Source organism: Homo sapiens, chromosome Y (assembly GCF_000001405.40).
Source record: "Homo sapiens chromosome Y, GRCh38.p14 Primary Assembly".
In the NCBI taxonomy this organism is placed as follows: domain Eukaryota; kingdom Metazoa; phylum Chordata; class Mammalia; order Primates; family Hominidae; genus Homo; species Homo sapiens.
Genome location: NC_000024.10, coordinates 18,785,072 through 18,805,653, shown reverse-complemented (window position 1 = coordinate 18,805,653; position 20,582 = coordinate 18,785,072). Strand labels below are relative to the sequence as shown.

The window sequence follows — 20,582 nt, the reverse complement described above, 5'->3', positions numbered from 1 at the left end:
TGGCCAAAATGGTGAAACCCCCTTTCTACTAAAAATAAGAACATTAGCCAGGCGTGGGGGTGCATGCCTGTAATTCCAGCTACTCAGGAAGCTGAGATAAGAGAATCCCTTGAACCTGGAAGGCAGAGGCTGCTGGGAGCTGAGTTTGGACCACTGCACTCTAGCCTGTAGGACAGAAGGAGACTCCATCTCAGAAAACCTCTCTGAACATTAAAAAGCAAGGCAAATTTAATCAAGTTTCTATTTTATGCTGTCATTAGAGTTCATTGGGTTAAAAGTGCAGAGATATAAGGAAGAGAAAAAGACCTCAGACTTGACTTTTGGAGCTCTGGAATCTAATAACATAACTCAGGAGTGTGTTTAATGAAGAAAGACCTGACCTCTAAGTCTGGGCGAGACAGTATGTGTCATTTTAACTTCCCATCATCACCCACTCCATGGCTTCATGGCCACTGTGAAGAAGATTAAATTATAGATGCAGCTTTTGATGCATATGGGGAAAATAGAGAGCTTATCTCAAAGAATTATGGTTGTGTGATTTAAAATGTCTGAGGTTCCCTTGGAGATTATTAGCTCAGAGGCTTTTCTTTAGCCCACCTCAGAGCTTTCTTGTGGGCAGAAGTTGACTCCCAGGAGGCATTTATGGAAAGGAAATATACTAGTCAGAGCCACTTGCAGCAAGGAAAAAGAGTCAGGTCAAGCGGTACACAAACAAAAGGCCTGCAAGAAGAGTCTGGGAAGAAAATTGAGGCGGAAAATCAGCTTTGAAAAACTCTCACGGTTTATTGTTGTTTGTTTTGGATTAGGTTTTAAATAGAGACAGAACTTGCCCTGTGGCCCACGTTGGAGTCCGCTGGCATGATCGTGATCCACTGCAGCCTCAACTTCTTTGGGTTCAAATGAACTTCCCACCTTAGCCACCTGAGCATCTCGCCTATCTGGACTCCACCTATCCTCCCCTGTCAGCATCTCACAGCATAGGCATGGGCCACCAGAACCAGCTTATTTTTGTATTTTTTTAAGCAGAAGAGATCTTACCATGTTGTGAAGACTGGTCTCGTACTTCTGGCTGAAGTGATTTGTTCTCCTAAGCCTTCCAAATTGGTGGGATTACATATGTGAACCACCACACAAAGACTCCTACTGGTATATTTAGAAGGATATAAGTATGCCGGTTTTTGGATGCATGCATGGAGAAGACCCCAAAGCTTTTCACTTTTCCCTGAGTTTGGGCTAAACACTAGAGTTCCTCAAAGAGTCCATATCCAAAGTCTGGGCAGTTTTTCTTTTCTTTCTTTTCCTTTTTTTTTTTCTTGGATTGTTTTTAAAAAATATGTCGAGAATAGTAGACCATCAAAAAGGTGACAGAACACAGATTAAGTGGATATACAACACAAAGAATGCAGACCACAAAAATAGCTCTGGAGGGTTGCTACACAAGTAAACAACCCACAAACTAAGGAATTGTGGATGTTAAGAATTTGTTATCCAAATATGCTGAATACTATCCAATATTTCAATTCACTTCATTTTACTATTCTCAAAGACCTAAGGGAACCCAGGAGTACAGTGATTCAAAACTGAAAATACCAGTAAAGACATACAGATTATTTTAAAAATGAAATCAATAACCTTGAAGTTACTAGGAAGCTGTGTGATTGAAAGTCAGTCACTCAATCACATGATCCTGGGATTTTCCTCTACATGTGGGACTACCCATACCTTGCAGCATTGCTGTGAGTTCACCTGAGCAAGACACCTGCACATGGTGGTGCTCAGGAAATGTTAATTTCCCTTTATTGAAATGGAACAACCCATGGGTATTATGTCTTGAGGTCTGGATTACAGTTGAGCAAGATACAGAAGACGTTGTAAACCCTGAGGAGGCATCACTGATCACTGGGAGTCTGGAAAGGCAGCAGAGAAAAAGTGACCTGCAGCTGGAAATGGCCAATGGGTCTGTTACAGGAAGTTACACAGGCATGAGTGGGGCAGAAGAGAGTTCTCCCATCCACCTACCAGGAATGTCAGGCCATCGGGTAATGGTTGGACAGTTATCACATTGCTTTTCTAAAAATAATAATTTAGCAGCAGAGCCAGGGATAGACAAGTTCCTACTGATACACAGCTGGTAACATTAAAGTGTTAACTAAAGTCACACTCCCGGGAGGGGGAAAAAGGGCTTCTAGTAAAATTTTACATACTGGGTGAGTGAACTGAGACATGCACATTAAGAGACGAAATGGTACAGCATGACTTTCTGGGGTCACTCCACCAAAAAAAGGGAGGAAGCTTCAGATGGGCATGCATATAAATGCTCAAACACACTGCCTATGCTCACTTCTCAAGGGTAAGGAGGGCACTGTGCCTGCTGGCAGCCCACACTTAGGAAAGAATCATGGAAAAAGGTGCACCAGATGCTCAAGGTGGGCCAGCCTATAAAGTCCCAGAATGAAGAGAAATGGCCACACTTGTTCTTCAAGTCACCCACTTGGATCTCTTCCAAGTGCACTTTTCATTCTTTCCTGCTCTAAAGCTTTTTAATAAATGTCCACTCCTGCTGTGAAACTTGCCTCAGGATTTTTTTTCCTTCTTTATGCCCATCAGTTGAACTCTTTCACCTGAGGAGGCAAGAACTGACATTGCTAAAGACGCAGATGGATTTGCTGCCAGTAACTCCGATACTTTCCACCAGTAACAGATCTAGGAGCTGGTGGACATAGTTGCTGAAGCATGTGTCCAGAATGTTTCTGCCCAGGCCACAAGCAGTCCTGCACTGTAAAGGGACTTGAACCCCAAGCTCAGGGGACACCATGGAAAGAGACTTCAGCCCGCTGATGGAATACTGGAGATAGGAATTTTTTATTGAGGTATAATTCCCATAATATGTTAACTGTTTTTTAAGGTATAATTCAGTGACACAGGAATGTGCATGTTCTACCACTTCTTAATTCCAAATTATTTTCATCATCTCAAAAGGAAATCCCCTACCTATTAAGGAGCTACTACCCAATCTGTCCTCTTTCTGACTCCTGACAATTAACAATCTGTTTTCTTTCTCTGTGAAATTATTTATTTTGGATATGTTTATAAATAAAATCATACAATACGTGACTTTTGTGCTTAGCTTCTTTAAACACAATGGTTTTGCAGTATCTTCACATTGTAGTATGAATGTCTCAATCCTTTTTATGGCTAAATATTATGCCATTGTAAGGATATGCTACATTTTGTTTTCCTGTTATTTATTGATGGACATTTGTGTTTTTTCCATGTTTTAGTTATTGTGAATAATTCTGCTATCAATATATGTGTACACTTTTTTTTAATACCTACTTTACATTGTTTTGTGAATATACCTGGGAGTGGATTTGCTGGTTTCTATGATAATTCTATGTTTAGCTTTTTGCAGAAATATCAAGCTATTTTCCACAGAAGAGGAATTATTTTACCTTTGTGATTCTCCATTTCCATGTCAACACATTTTAGTTTATGGTTTTAAATAATAATAATTATAATGAGTGTGAAGTGGTGTCTTATTGTGGCTTTGATTTGCATTTCTCTGAGGTGAGTGATGTTGAGCTAATTTTTATGTGTTTTTTTGTGTATCTTTGGAGAAAAGTATTTTCAATTAATTAATTTATTTTTTTAATTGGATTGTTTGTCTTTTTGTTCTTGAGTTGTAAGAATTCTTTCTATATCCTGGATAGTAGACATTTATTCTTATATATGGCTTGCAAATATTTTGTCCTACACTGTTGGTTTTCTATTGACTATCCTGATAGTGTCCTTTGAAGCATGAAAGATTTTAGTTTTAAGGAAGTTCATTTTATCTATTTTTTTCTTTTGTTTTCTGTGCATTCTCTGTCCTACCCAGGAAACCATTGTCAAATTCAATGCCACTAAGCACATAAAAATATGTTCCACATCATTAGCCGTTAGGTAAACAAATATCTAAACCACAATGAGCTTACCACTTTATACCCACTAGAATGCCTTTATTTTTTATTTATTTATTTATTTATTTTGGAAAAAAGGAGAGTTGGAGAATATGTGGAGCAAATGGAACCCCTGTGCATTGCTGGTGAGAATGTGCAATGGTGGTGGTGGTTGCACGATAACATAAACATACTTAATGCCACTTACCTATACACCTACAAATGTTTAGATTGGTGAATTTTATTTTATGATTCTTTTACCCCATACAACAAAGGCTTCCTGAGAATTGGTCCTGAAATAGTTTAATGTGTAGTGAAAGAAGATCCTTCTCTTCTAGAGTGAGTAGGAGCCTTTTATTTTTCTTGAGACAGAGTCTTGCTCTGTCACCCAGCCTGGAGTGCAGTGGCGCAGTCTCCACTCACTGCAAATTCCACCTCATGGGTTCATGCCATTCTCCTGCCTCAGCCTCCTGAGTAACTGGGACTACAGGTGCCCACGACCATGCCTGGCTAATCTTTTTGTATTTTTTAGTAGAGGCAGGGCTCCATCGTGTTAACCAGGATGGTCTCTATCTCCTAACCTCGTGATCCACCCACCTCAGTCTCCCAAAGTGCTGGGATTACAGACATAAGCCACCACGCCAGGCAGAGTAGGAGCCTTTTTATTCACGCTGGTACTACACACTACTGGCTCTTCCAAACACATAGCATGATCTCACCAACCAGAGGGAGCTTAATTCTAACTGGCCCATTTGTACTTCTTTCCAACATCCTATTCCCCTATTCAACTCACTCCCTGCCCTCTACAAACCACTGTACATCAGAGGTCGGTTTACCTTCGCTGTAGACTTTTCATAATGTCATAGAAATGCGATCATACAGTACATGACATCTTCAGACTGGTGCTTTTTGTTATTATTGTTTTCTCATTATTCCATAATTGCTGCCAAAAGAAGCATGCATATGTTTTGCCACAGAAAACTGATCGTAGTCTGAGCTCTACTTAGTAAACATTAAAAAAAATATGCTAGTACCTATTGTGGCATTGATCCTGTTTTTTAATTGATGATTTCTACAATGAGATAGTAAGTTGTAGCTAATAAGACAATGTGCTGAATTAGTGTGATACTTCACTATGTAGAGATCTCATTCAACAAAGTGATTCCTTTACAGGTGTCTGCAGGGGTCTGTCCCACAGACCCTGACTCAATGGTGGGTGAATAAAGTACTCTGAAACGCAGATACTCTGCTTTGCCAGTCCAGCTGAGCATTTGGGCTGCTTACAGACTGCAGGCAGAGTGGTGTAAACATTTTTGACTGTGGCCCTGACCAACTACTAAGACTTGCATTTATTCAGTAACGACTAATTGACAAAGGCTTGAGTCAAAACCACTAAGGGGTAATTGACAGTGTGGACTTCTGATTAGAAAGAAATTAAGCACCTGTGGAAAGTCAAAGGATAGTCTTCAGACCTCACAAGTAAGCAAGCTAGTTACACAAACACCCCATATTCCTTTGTTTCTACTCTAACATATTTAAATAAAGGGAAAAGGCTGCCTTCATCCAAGTTTATTACTGGAGCTGATGCCAACCCCGCAGTCATTCCAGTAAGGTTTGCATCTGATAATTTTCCCCACCATCCTGACTGAACCCCCACAGATGTGAAAGCAGCAACAGGAATTGCTACAGTACAAACTAGTTTCTTTGGGAACTGAAAAAAACCATTGATTTCAATTTCAGTACATATTTTGCAACACTTAATATTTGATACAGAATAGAACTCTGGAGGTTTTCCTTCTTAAATCTGCTTTTTCAAAGTGAGCCAAAGTGTGAAATCACATGATTTTGGTCTGTTAGTTTTTCCTTCACCTTTCACAATGTGGCACTGATTTTGATTGACATTTGAAGACAGAGACTAATTTATTAAAATATTTCTCCCTGTTCTTTTTCTTTTTGCTTTTAAACATCACAAGTGAAACTTCTGGTAATTTCAAGAGTGTACACTTTAAATAAGAATAAAAGCCAGTGGGCATCTGGCAAGATGGTTGAAAAAGAAAAGCTTTTGTTGGCAGCTCCCACAGAGACCAACAAAAGACCGGTAATTTCTGCATTTCCACCTAAGGTACCCAGTTCATCTCGTTGGGACTGGTTAGACATTGAGTGCAGCCCACAAAAGGCAGCAGATACAGGTGAGTGTTGCCTCACCAAGGAAGTGTGAGGGGCTGGGGACTTCCTCCCTAGCCAAGGAAAGCCATCAGGGGCTGTGCTATGAAGTCCACATCCTGCACATTTCTCACAGGTTTTGCAACTCACAGACCAGGAGATTCCCTAGTATGCCTATGCAACCACAGCCTTGGGTTTCAAGCACAAAACTGGGTGCCTGCTTGGGCAGAGGCTGAGATAGCTGCAAAAAAATATTATGTACCCCAGTGGCACCTGGAACCCCAGTGACAAAGAACCATTCACACCTCTGCAAAGGGGGCTAAAGCCAGGGAGCCAAGTGGTCTCACTCATCAGGTCTCACTCCCATGCAGCACAGCAAGCAGAGATGCACTGGCTTCAAATTCTCACTATCCACCTAGAAGTCTGAAGTCAACTTGGAATGATTAAGCTTGGTGGGGAGATGGTTGATCACCATTACTGAGACTTGAGTATAAGGATTTCCCCTCACAGTGTTAAGAAAGCTGCCAAGAAGTTTGGACTGCATGGGACTCACACAAGCAAGCAAAGCAGATGTGGCCAGGTTGGCTCTCTAGATTCCTCCTCACTAAGTAGGGAATCTCTGAAAGAAAGGCAGCAGCCCCAGTCAGGGACTTATATGTAAAAGTCCCATCTCTCTGGGAAAGAAACTGTGAGAAAAGGGATGGCTGGGAGTGCAGCTTCAGCAGACTTAAACATTCTTGCCTGCCTGCTCTGAAGAGAGCAGTGTATCTCCCAGAAGTGTGCTCGAGCTCTGCTCAGGGACAGACTGCCTTTTCAAATGTGTCCCTGACTCATGTGTCTCCTGACTAGAAGACACCTCCCAGCAGGGCTCAACAGATACTTCTACAGGAGAGCTCTGGCTGGCACCAGTTAGGTACAACTCAGGATCAAATCTTCCAATTACTGTTGTTCTGCAACTTCAGATGGTGACACCCAGGCAGACAGCATCTAAAGTAGACTGCCAGCAAACTCTAGCAGATCTGCAGAAGAGATGCCTGACTGTTAGAAGAAAAACTAACAAACAGAAATCAGTCACATCAACATCAACAAAAAGGACACACACACAAAACCCAATCCAAAGACTATCGGCATCAAAGATCCCAGGTAGATAAATCCACAAAAAATGAGGAATATCCAGCATAAAAGTGCTAAAAATTCAAAAATACTAGAATGCCTCTTCTCCTCCAAATGATTCCAAGCACTCTGCAGCAAGGGCACAAAAGTGGATGGGGAATAAGGTTGATGAATTGACAGAAGTAAACTTGAGAAAGTCGGTAATAACAAAATTCTCTGAGCTAAAGGAGCATGTTCTAACCCAATTCAAGGAAGATAAGAACCTTGATAAGTCATTACAGGAACTGCTAACAAAAATAACCAGTTTAGAGGAGAACATATATGACCTCATGGAGATGAAAAACACAGCGCAAGAAACATTGTGAAGCAAAAACAGGTATCAATAGCTGAATTGATGAAGATGAAGAAAGGATATTAGAGAATGAAGATCAACTTAATGAAATAAAGGATGAAGACAAGACTAGAGAAAAACGAATAAAAAGGAACAAACTAGCCTCCAAGAAATATGGGACCATGTCAAAAGGCCAAACCTACAATTGATTGGTGTACCTATAAGTGATGGGGAAAATGGAACCAAGTTTGAAAACACACTTCAAGGCATTATCCAGTAGAACTTCCACAACCTAACAAGACAGGCCAACATTGAAATTCAGGTAATACAGATAACACCACTAAGATACTCCTTGAGAAGAGCAACATGAAGACCTATAACTGTCAGATTCTCCAAGGTTGAACAAAAATAAAAAATGTTAAGGACAGCCAGAGAGAAAGGTCAGGTTACCTACAAAGGGAAGCACATCAGAATAACATCGGCTCTCTCTGCAGAAACCCCACAAGCCAGAAGAGAGTAGGGGCCAATATTCAGCATCCTTAAAGAAAAAAAAAAATTCAACCTAGAATTTTATATTCAGGCAAACAAAGCTTCATAAATAAAACAAAAATAGAATTGTTACAGACAATCAAAGGTAGATGGTTTTTGTCATCACCATGCCTGCCTTAGACGAGCTCCTGCAGAAAACAGTAAATATGGAAAGAAAAAACCTGTACTCACCACTGAAAAAAATGTCAAAATATAAAGACCAACAACACTATGAAAAAAGTGGATCAACTAGTATGCAAAATGACCAGCTATTATTGCTATGCCAGGACCAAATTGACACATAACAATATTAACCTTCGATGTAAATGACCTAAGTTTGCCAATTAATGTACACAGACTGGCAAATTGGATGAAGAGTAAAGACCCTGTGTTATTCTACATTCAGGAGACCCATCTCATGAGTGAAGACACATGTAGGCTCAAAAGAAAGGGATGGAGGAATAGTTTCCAAGCAAATGGAAAGTTAAAAAAAAAAAAAGGATTGTAATCCTAGTCTCTCCTAAGACAAACTGTAAACCGACATAGATCAAAAAAGACAGAGTAGTTGCATAATGGTAAAGGGATCAATGAAACAAGAAGAGCTAATGATCCTAAATATATATGAACCTAATACAGTAGCACCCAGATTTATAAAGCAAGTTCTTAGAGACTTACACAGCCTAGACTCCCATACAATAATAGTGGGAGACTTTAACACCCCACTATCAATATTACACAGATAAATGAGACAGAATATCAACAAGAATACTCAAGACTTGAACTCAGCTCTTGACCAAGCAGAGCTAATAGATATCTACAGAAGTCTCCACCCCAAATCAACATAATGTACATTATTCTCAGCACCATATAGCACTTATTCTAAAATTGAGTACATAATTGGAAGTAAAACACTCCTCAACAAAAGCAAAAGAACAGAAATCAAAACAAACCGTCTCTCAGACCAGGGTGGACTAAAATTAGAACTCAGGATTAAGAAACTCATTCAGAACTGCACAACTACATGGAAACTGTAAAACCTGCTCCTGAATGACAACTGGGTAGATAACAACGTTAAGAAAGAAAGAAGTTGCTTGAAACCAGTGAGAACAAAGACACAACCTACCAGAATCTCTGGCACACAGCTAAAGCAGTGTTAAGAGGAAAATTAATAGCACTAAATGCCCACATCAGAAAGTGGGACAGATTTAAATCAACACTCTACAGTCAGAATGAAAAGAACTAGAGAGACGGGCATGGTGGCTCCTGCCTGTTATTTCAGCACTTCGGGAAGTTGAGCCAGGCAGTTAGCCTGAGTTCATGACTCCAAGACCAGCCTGGACAACCAACATGGTGAATCTCTGTCTCTACAAAAATGTAGCCGGGCAAAATGGTGCACAACTTTAATCCCAGATACTCAGGAGGGTGAAGTTGGGTAATCTCTTGAACCCAAAAGATAAAAGTCGCAGTAATCTGAGGTCGCACCACTCCACTCCAGTGTGGGTGACAGTATGAGACACCTTAAAAAAATGAAAGAAAGAAAGAAAGAAAGGAAAAGAACTAGAGAAGCAAGAACAAACAAATTCAAAACCTGACACAAAAAAGAAATAACTGAGTGCAGAGCGTAACTGAAGGTGATAGAAACAGGAAAATCCTTCCAAAAATCCATGAATCCAAGAACATTTTTGTTGTTGCTGTGAGGATTAACAAAATAGATAGACTGCTAGCCAGACTAATAAAGAAAAAAGAGAGAAGAACCAATTAGACACAGTAAAAAAAAGGACAATGGAGATGTAACCACTGATCCCTAGACACACAAACTACCATAAAAGAATACTGTAAACACCTCTATGCAAATAAACTAAAAAATCTGGAAGAAATAAATTAATTCCTGGACACATACACCATTCCAAGACTAAATCAGAAAAAAAGTAGAATCCCTGAAGAGACCAACAAATTCTAAAATTGAGGCAGTAATTAATAGCCTACCAAACAAAAAATTGCCAGACCAGAGAGATTCACAGCTGACTTCTACCAGATGTGCAAAGAAAAGCTGGTGCTATTTCCTTCTGAAACTATTCCAAACAATAGAGAAAGAGGGACTCCTCCTGAACTCATTTTATGAGGCCAGCATCATCTTACTACCAAAGCCTGTCAGAGACGCAACAAAAAGAGAAAATTTCAGGCCAATATCCCTGATGAAAATTGAAGTGAATATCCACAATAAAATAATGGCAAACTGAATCCAGCAACACATCAAAAAGCTTATCCATACGATCAAGTCAGCTCCGTCCTTAGATTGCTAGTCTAGTTTCAACATATGCAAATCAATAAACATAATCCAGCATATAAAGAGAACCAATGACAAAAACCACATAATTATCTCTATAGATGCAGAAAAGGCCTTTGGTAAAATTCAACATCACTTTTTGCTAAAAACACTCAATAAACTGGGTATTGATGGAATGTATCAGAAAGTAATGGGAGCTGTTTGTGACAAACCCATAGGCAATGTCATACTGAATGGGCAAAACCTGGAAACATTCCCTTTGACAACCTAAAACAAAAGGCACAAGACAAGCATGGCCTCTCTCACCACTCCTATTCAACATAATATTGAAGGTTCTGGCCAGGACAATCAGGCAAGAGAAAGAAATAAAGGGTATTCAAATAAAAATAAAGGAAATCAAATTGTCCCTGTTTGCAGATGACATAGCTGTATCTTTAGAGTACCCCATTTTCTCAGCTCTGTACTCCTTAACAATAGACAAGGAACTTGTCTATTGTATATGTTTCTTAAGCTTGTAAAGAACACCAGCAAGGTCAGGCTACAAAATCAATGTGCAAAAATCACAAGCATTTCTATAAACCAATAGTAGACATACGAGAGCCAAATCATGAGCGAACTCAAATTCACAATTGCTCCAAAGAAAATAAAATTACTAGGAATGCAGCTTACAAAGCATGTGAAGGACTTCTTTATGGAGAGCTACAAACCACTGCTCAAGGAAATAAGAGAGGACACAAAAATATGGAAAAAAAATTATGTTCATGGACAAGAAGAATCAATATCGTGAAAACGACCATAGTGCTTAAAGTAATTCACACATCTACAATGATCTGATCTTCGACAGGCCTAACAAAAGCAAGCAACGGGGGAAGGATTCCCTGGTACTGGGAAAACTGGATAGCCATATGCAGAAAGCTGAAACTGGATCCCTTTCTTATAGCTCATACAAAAATTAACTCAAGATGAATTCAAATCTTAAACGTTAAATCTAAAACCATAAAACCCTAGAAGAAAACCTAGACAATACCATTCAGGATATAGGCATGGACAAAGGCCTCATGACAAAAACACCAAAAACAATGGCAACGAAATCCAAAATTGACAAACGGGACCTACTTCAATCAAAGAGCTTCTCCACAGCAAAAGAAAATATTGTCAGAGTGAACAGGGGACATACAGGATGTGAGAACATTTTTTCAACCTATCCGTCTGACAAAGATCTAATATCCAAAATCTACAAGAAACTTAAAAAGATTTACAAGAAAATAAAAAACAGACAAACCCCATCAAAAAGTGGGCAAAGCAAATGAACAGACACTTCTCAAAAGAAGACATTTAATCAGCCAACAAACATACATAAAAAAAGCTCGGCGTCACTTGTCGTTAGAGAAATGCAAATCAAAACCACAATGAGCTATCATCTCACACCAGTCAGGATGGCGACCATTAAAAAGTCAGGAAACAACAGATGCTACTGAAGTTGTAAAGAAATAAGAATGCTGTATACTGCTGGTGGGAATGTAAATTAGTTCAATCATTTTGGAAGACAGTGTGGTGATTCCTCCAGGATCTATAACCAGAAATACCATTTGACCCAGGAATCACATTATGTGGTATACACCCAGAGGATTATAAATCATTCTGCTATAAGGAAACATGCACATGTATGTTTATTACAGCACTACTCACAGACAAGAAAGACATGGAACAAACCCAAAAGCCCATCAATGATAGACTGGATAAAGAAAATGTGGCACATATACACCATGGAATACTATGCAGCCACTAAAAAGAGTAAGTTCATGTCCTTTTTCAGGGACATGAATGATGCTGGAAACCATTATTCTCAGCAAGCTAACACGGGAACAGAAAAGCAAACACTACCTGTTCTCATTCATAAGTGGGAACTGAACAATGGGAACACAGGGAGGGAAATATCACACAATGGGGCCTGTCGGGGAGTAGGGGGCAAGTGGAAGGAGATCATTAGGACAGATACCTAATGCATTCAGGACTTAAAACTTAGATGATGGGTTGATGGGTGCAGCAAACCACCATGGCACATGTACAACTATGTAACAAATCTGCATGTTCTGCACATGTATCCTAGAACTTAAATTATAATTAATAAAAAAAGTCGGGATAAATAACAAATCAAATAGTATCCATGAATTTATGATGACTCCCTATTTGGTTTTTACTAAATACTTTTTCTGTGTTTTGTGTCTCCAAGAAAGCAAAATAACAATGCATTGTACCAAACATTTTAAAAGAACTTACTAAAAAGCAATTCGAGTCAATCAATTCTTTTATCTCTTAATGAAAACAAGTGTGGGTTAAAAACCAGCTCTCCTAATGCTTGTCAGTGCCTCAAGGTGCTTAGGATAAAAATAAAACTTCCAAACTAAGGACACTTGGCAGCCTCCAGAACTTTAAGAAAAGCTGAGATATAAAGTATCCAGCCTCTGGCTCTTTCTGGGACAGCATGTCCAGTACCTTGGGGGCCCCTGGGCCCTGAAGGAAGGGCGGAGGTCGGGTAGGTGAGGGTGGTCTTTGGAGCCACTGCGGCTACTCATGGGACAGGTTGGAGTCTCAGCCTTCAGCAGAAGCAGCAGGCTTTCAGCCAGCAGTGTTTGGGGTGCCTGCCTGTTTTCCATCTCTATGTGATGTATCTGCTCAGGTTTTTACCCTGGACTTGGGTTGCTTATCTTTGTCAGTTTTAGAGTTTCTGTGAACTTTGTGCATACAAGTCACTTTTCAGGTGAGTTTGCTACATTTTTCTATCTGTGGCTGGTTTTTTGGTTCTCTTAACCAGATTTTTTTTTTTTTTTTTTTTTTTGAGGCAGAGTTTCATTCTGTCGCCAAGGCTGGAGTGCAATGACCCAATCTAGGCTCACTGCAACACCTATCTCCCAAGTTCAAGGGATTCTCCTGGCTCAGACTCCTGAGCAGCTGGGATTATAAGTGCATGCCAGAAATTCCAGTTAATTTTTTGTATTTTTAGTAGAGATGGGTTTTCACCATGTTTACCATGCTGATCTGGATCTCCTGACCTCAGGTGACCCAGCCGCTTCGACTTCCAAAAGTGCTGAGATTACAGGCTTGAACTGCCATGCCCAACTGTAGAAGGGTATTTCACAGAGTAGACATTTCAGCTTTCAATAAAGCCACTATTATCCTTTTTTTTTTTTCATGGACTTGCTAATAACTCATTACCAAACCCAAACCCATGAGGACATTTTCCAATTACAACTTTGCATTGAAAAATTTTAATGTATGGCTATTTTTGACTATTTTTTTTAGCTATGAAATTTGTATATATGTCCATTTGTTTCCATATAGTTTCCAGCTGTTTTCTTGCCCCTTGTGGAATAGACTTACCGTTTCCAAATTTTTTACATTTTTTTGACATGTTTGTCACAATTTTGACAAATTTTTTTTACATTTTTGACAAAATCAGTTGACTTGGGCCTGTGTGGGGGCTGTCTATTCTGTCCACTTAACTACTTGTCTGTTAAATCATCAATGCCACACTCTTGTTTGCTAAGCTAGCTTTAGTGTAAGTATTCATATCCATATGTGTAAGTCCTTTAGCTTTTTTCTTCTTCAGTCTTATTTCATCTATTCTAGGTTTAGGAAGAGATTGTTGATATATTTGCCTGGAATTTGATTGGGATATGACTGAAATATTAATACATGTGTACTTCTCCAGAACAAGACACATCTCTTCCTTTATTTATTTATTGAGAAAGAGTCTTGCCGTGTCACCAAGATTGGAGTGTAGTGGCACGATCTCCGCTCACTGAGATTCTCCCACTTCAGCACCACAAGTAGCTGAGATCACAGGCATGCACCACCAAGCTCAGCTTAATTTTTGTATTTTTGGTAGAGATGGGGTTTCACCATGTTCCTCAGGCTGGTCTCTAACTCGTGGACTCAAGTGATCTGCCCACTGTAACCTCCCAAACTGGTGAGATTATAGGCATGTTCCACTGTGCCTGGCCTGTATGCATTTACTAATATTTCTTTTGATTTCTCTCAGTTGTGACTGATTGTTTTCTGAATGAACTTTGCCTATTTTGTTACATTTATACTTAATGGATTCAATTTTGTAGGAAGTATTGTAAATGGTGGTTAAGTATTTCAAATTCCAATGATTTCTATTCATTATTGCTGATATAGAGAAAATCAACTGAGTTTTGTCTATTGACGATCTTCTTTGCTTCTTTTTATATCCATTCAAGGTATGGGAAGGTTGGCTCTATTTCACTTCCACTTCCTGAGATGACCGCCTGGATTAACCCACCCTGAATTTCAAAGATTTCCCAGGGCTACTACCGGGGGAGGGGGCATGGGGCAGATGCACTGAGCTTGCAAACCAACTCTCTGAGGGGCAGGGTGTTCTCACAGTGACTTGGACAGAGATTCCTTCTCCTCAGGACACACCCAGAAGAGGCCGTTGTTTTAGGGTACCTGGGGAACCTATGGCCACGTTCATGGTGCAGACTAATGCTACTTCATTTCAGGACCCACCCAACAGTGGCCTCAGCTTGGGGACATCTGGAGTCGCATCCACCATGAGGACGAAGCCTCCTTCTCTTCTGGACCTGCCCAGGAGTGGCCGTTGCTACAAGACCTCTGTTGCTACGTCCAGGGTGAGAATAAAGACTTCTCCTCAGGACTCTCCCAGGAGAAGACATGGCATTGAGACATCTGGTGGCCAGGTGAGGAAAAGACACCCTGTCTGCAGCACCCAATACTGATGAGGGGCACTGTCCTGGGCCTTACTTCCCAGTCCTGGCCTCCACTTCTGACTTTACAAAAGTGTCCCTTGAGTGAGGCAGTGACCACGCATTTTAACGGCTACCAAAGTGTGGTTTGCAGATGATCTGGACTTGTTTCTGGGGGTAGAGTCTGTTACAGAGAAAGGAGAGGTGCTGAGTGGAGCCACCGTGACAGGCTCTATCAATACTTTTTTTCGTGCTTTAATGACTCATTTTTCTTAGAGAACTAAAGTATATAGTTGAAACAATATAGAAAAATTTTAAGTAGGCATATTAGAACTCGAATTATTATTTAAATTTAAATATATGATGTATGCCTGGTTAGCAACATTTTTTCTTTTCCTGAGACAGTCATAGTTTAACTGAGAATGCATTGGTAGTGATAATGAAAATGTCTGTTTTATAAGGATTGACATCCTACATTAGCTGAGATATACTAACAATATCAAACTTTGATATTATACCATAAAATTAATTGAATTCTGAGCCAAATATGAGTGACAAATGGTCCATGACACAGCCCTACTCTGGAGATCCTGAGAACATGTGCTCCAGGTTGTGTATTCACAGCCTACATTTATGCATTTTAGGGAGACATGAGACATCAATCAAACGCATGAAGATGTACATTGGTTTGGTCCAGAAAGGACGCACAACTTGAAAATAGCCATGGTGCAGGTCTGGGCTTTCAAGTTACAGGTAGATTTACATATATTTTACTTGGCAGTTGGCTGAAAGAGTTAAGTTATTATCTAAAAACATGGAATCAGTAGATGGGAATGACTGGGTTACAATAAATAATAAAGGCTGTAGAGACCAAGTTTTATCATGATGATGAATCCTCCATGTAGCATGCTTGAGAGAATAAGAGGTAAATATTTCTTATTAGACTTAAGGTATAGGTCGCTGTTAATGATGGTCAACTTTTTCTAAAGTTCAAAAGGGAGGAGCGTGTAATGAAGCATGTCGGTCCCTCTTTCCTGTCAGGACCTGAACCAATTTAGGAATGCCCCTGGTCAAAAGGAGGGCTCTATTCTGATGCCTGTGGTGGGGGCGGGGGAGGAGGGGCAGAAGAGTTATTTTTTTTTTTTACAAGTGTTTCACTTCTGTTTACAAAAGTATAACCTTCTAAATTGTTATAAATTATAATTAGTCTAAGACCTAAAAGGGATTTCTTTCATCAAAAAAAAAAAAAAAAAAATAGAACATTAAAAAACCTAAGCCACGACACCTTGCCAGATTATTTTTTTCTTTCTGTTTCTACAGTTGCCAAGGATGCTTTGCTTATAAGTCATATAGTTGACTCATTGACCATCTGGGTATAGTTCTGTTGCTTCTTCCAAAATTGTACCTAGTAACCTTCAAAAATTGTTATGAAAAAGTGTCTTAAATTGTAGAAATAAACAAAATGAAAAGACACTTTTAAACAATGCTGGGATTTATCAAATGACAGAAGAAATTTCTACTGTTTTTTTTTCTTTTTGAGACAGGGTCTCACTGTGTGGCCCAGCCTGGAGTGCAGAAGTGCCGTCATGGCTCACTGCAGCTTCTAACTGCCTAGCTCAATTAATCCTCTGTCTTAGCCTCAGTCACCATGTCTGGCTAACTTTTTGTATTTTTAGCAGAGACAAAGGTTTGCCATGTTGCCTGGGCATGTCTCAAACACCTGGAATCACAAGATTTGCCTGCATTGGCCTCCAAAAGTGCTGAGATTATAGGCATTGATAAGACATTTATGTTAGGGTTAGATAAAAATCAATATTTTGGCTAAGTTATGAAGATGCATATAATGCAATTATTAATTTATGCCTAATTTTCATCATTTTCTTTCCTTTTTTTTTTTTTGAGACGGAGTCTTGCTCTGTCACCCAGGCTGGAGTGCAGTGGCGTAATCTTGGCTCACTGCAGGCTCCGCCTCCCGGGTTCACGCCACTCTCCGGCCTCAGCCTCCTGAGTAGCTGGGACTACGGCCGGCTACTTTTTGTATTTTTAGTAGAGACGGGGTTTCACCATGTTGGCCAGGATGGACTCCATCTCTTGACCTCGTGATCCCCCCGCCTCAGCCTCCCAAAGTGCTGGGATTACAGGCATGAGCCACCATGCCCAGCCAATTTTCATCATTTTCAATGTCAACATTACTCATTTTAAAATCATACTCAAGGCATAAGGCAAAACCACTTATGAACTGGCATATTTGTTTATTTCTCTGTGAAAATGTCCTTAGTTTGTTCACAGTACAAAAAAAATTCAATTATGTTATGCAAAAAACAGAAGAGAATCTTCTTTGCAATTAATTTTATAGTTACCTTGATACAGGGAATGTACTATCTATAAAAAATAAATGTTAACTGAACTACAGTTAGTTAAACACTGAAAAAAATTAAGTTTATTATATTTTATTTTATCCTATCAATTAATTGTATTTATATACAATCTAGAAAGTTACAGCCATCAACAGTTCTAATGCAGTTTCAGGTGAAATGGGAATTTGGAAATCTCTGTGGAGCTTTAGGTGTAGTGAAATATTTAGGTAAAATATGTGCATGCTTTTGGCAGCACTTGTGAAGGGATGTCTCTCAAATTGACCTCAATACTTTCCTTCTCAGCAAAATGACCTGGGCCACTCAACATGGCTTTCATTGTTGTTGATGTTCGTGCATGTTCGCCTTTTACCATAAATTTTTGACTCTGAAGATATCCATTTGACATCGTGGCTTTAGGGCTTTCAAAACCACTGTAGGTTTTCTACTCTTCATCCACCACGTACTTACATAATTCTACTTTGATTCCCCAGGAACTTGACTACTTTCTGGTTAGCCCTATGGCCAGTGCAGCCCAGCTCCCAGTGTAGCAGCACTGACTCGACTCCAGGGCTATCCCCCACACCCAGCTTGTGGCTCCTATGGGTTCCAGGGAAGTTGGAAGACAGGCTGCTTGTTGTTTTCACAAATAAAATTGTTGTATTAATTTCATTTTCATATGGTTTATTACTAGTGTACAGAAGTAGATTTTATTATATTGATATTTTATAATGTATGTTTGTTTAGTTTGTTTACCAGATGTCATGATTTCTTGTTGGTTTCTTATGATTTCTTTATAGGAGATCATAAGACCCAAGGGTAGATAGTTTTACTTTTTTTATTTTTATTTTTCCACATATGAATGGCCAAAACAATTGGAAATATATACATATTTTGCTAGAATATCCATCCAAAACAATTGGAAAAATATATATTCACATATATATTTATATATAAATATCTATATGTAAAAATATATATAATAATATATGTGCATATAAATATTTGTATATGTATATATGTGTATATATAAATATTTATATGCACATATACTACATATATCATATATATATATATATTTCCAATTGTTTTGGATGGAAATTCTAGTACAGTGTAGAATACAGTGATGAAATTTAGCATCAATGCTTTGTTCCTCATCTTAAACTTTGATTCCCAACAATTCAGATGCTGATTGTTACAGGTTTTGCACAAAGACGTGTTATGTGAAAGAAATTTGAAGCACAGTTTATTGGATGTTGTTATCATTAAACACGTTGACTAACTTTAAGTATTTTCCATAACAGTTGAGATAAACATGTACTGTTTTCCCATGATTTAGTTTACATGGTATATTGAAAAGGGATGGCTTCAGAATGTTGAAAAACCCTCAATTTTCAAAACAAACAAACAAACAAACAAACAAACAGAAAAATCTTAATCATTGAGGTGCATAATGTCTTCCCCATGTAGCAAATTTCAGGTACTAGTTTTTGGTTAAACATTATAATGACTTTAATTGTCATATTTCTTAACATTTAGTGTTTTGTCCTAGTGATATCATCTGTTTAATTCAATTTTCAATTGGAATTAATGAGAGGTAAGGTTTAGTGTACTCTTAAGGGCATTAGGGGTTAGAGGATAGAGTCAAAGGTTATATATTTAAAATTATTTTGAAGGGTGATATGGTAATACTAAGGATGGGAGAGAAGTTTGGGATTAGGAATAGGGGTTTACAATTGCAGAAAAAAGGTTAGATTGAGGGTTAGGTCTGGGGTTGACTTAAAGGTTCGTGTGGTGGTAGGATTAGGGTTATGGTTAGGATTAGAATTTGGGACCGTTGTCGAGGTTAAGGTAACGTTTAGGGCTAGAGTTAGAATCAGGATTAGAAGTTAGGTTTGGGTCAGGTTATGCTTAGGCTTAGGGTAAGAGATAGGCTTACAGTTAGATGTTGGGGTTAGTGGAGGGTTAGGTTCTGGGTTAACTCCATGGTGAGGGTTATGGTTAGTGCTAAGGGTGAGAACTAAGGCGACAGTAAGGGTTAGGGTAAGAGGGTTAGTGTATTAGCGTTAGGGTTTGGTTTACTGTTGGTGTTAGGATAAGAATAAGGATTTGGTTTAGGGTTTAGAGTTCAGGTCCTGGTTAGGGTTTCAGGTTAGCATTAGGGTTAGTGTTTAGGGTTCAGTGTTAGTTTTAGGGTTATTGTTTAGCACTTAGGTTTAGGTTTAGGGTTGGTTGAGGGTTAGGATAAGGGGTTAGGGTTTGGCATAGTGTTAGAGTTTAGAACTCTAGGATAAGGGGTTAGGGTTAGGTTTAGGGTTGGGTTAGGTTAAGGGTTAGAGCTTAAGGTTAATGTTGGGACTGGATTTATTGTATAGGATCATAGTTTGGATTTAGATTTTAGTGTTAAAGCTAGGGTCAGATTACTGTTTGGGTTACGTGTTTGGGTTAGGGTTTATGATTAGGCTAAAATCAATGTTTAGTATTAGGTTTAATATCAGGGTTTAGGGTATGGCTAGGGTTAGTGTTCTAGGTTATTTGGGTTAGGATTAGTGTTAGGGCTTTTGGGAGTTAAGGTTAGTGTTAGGGGTTACATTTAGGTCTAGGATTAGGTTTACATTTTAGTGTTTGTGTTATGGTTATGATTAGTTGTGAAAATAGGGGTGGGTGTAATATTTTGGGTTAACTTTAGGTTTAGGATTAGGTTTACATCTTAGTGTTTGTGTTATGGTTATGATTAGTTGTGAAAATAGGGGTGGGTGTAATATTTTGGGTTAACTTTAGGTTTAGGTTTACTGGTAGAGGTTTTAGCTTAGGGTTAGTGTTAATTGTGAGGGCTAGGTTGAGGGTTTAGTGTGTATGCTTAGGTTTAATGTTAGGTTTTGTGTTAGCATTGATTCCTACTTTTAGTTTCAGGATTATGGTGATGTTTATGTTAAGATTATGGTTAGGTTTATTTTTTAAGCTGATGGCTTTGGTTAGGGATAGTGTTAGGTTTTGGGTTGAGTTGCGGTTGGAGTATGCATAGGGTTAGGGTTAGTGTTAGTGTTACAGGATAGGGCTATGGTTAGCGATTAGGTTTAGGGTTAATGGGTTAGGGTTATGGCATAGGTTTAATGTTAAACTTAGTGGTTAGGGTGA

At 39.0% G+C, this 20,582-nt stretch overlaps 1 protein-coding gene, 1 long non-coding RNA gene and 2 pseudogenes across 3 annotated transcripts in view; 3 read left to right on the top strand and 1 right to left on the bottom strand.

Moving 5' to 3' along the window:
* Positions 1 to 3,114, top strand: part of LOC124905305 (uncharacterized) — a 33,859-nt gene extending 30,745 nt beyond the window's left edge. For both annotated transcript variants that reach the window (XR_007068459.1, XR_007068458.1), the window contains one exon: positions 807 to 3,114. This is a non-coding gene — a long non-coding RNA (uncharacterized LOC124905305). The remainder of the gene's footprint in view (positions 1 to 806) is intronic.
* PRYP6 (PTPN13 like Y-linked pseudogene 6) lies at positions 14,503 to 15,045 on the top strand (annotated as a pseudogene).
* The window catches only part of HSFY2 (heat shock transcription factor Y-linked 2), a 59,325-nt gene continuing 53,632 nt past the window's right edge, over positions 14,890 to 20,582 (top strand). The window contains exon 1 of the mRNA XM_017030030.3: positions 14,890 to 15,084. Coding sequence (XP_016885519.1) covers positions 15,059 to 15,084 — 26 coding nt within the window. The 5' untranslated portion in view covers positions 14,890 to 15,058. The remainder of the gene's footprint in view (positions 15,085 to 20,582) is intronic.
* ELOCP14 (elongin C pseudogene 14) lies at positions 17,328 to 17,989 on the bottom strand (annotated as a pseudogene).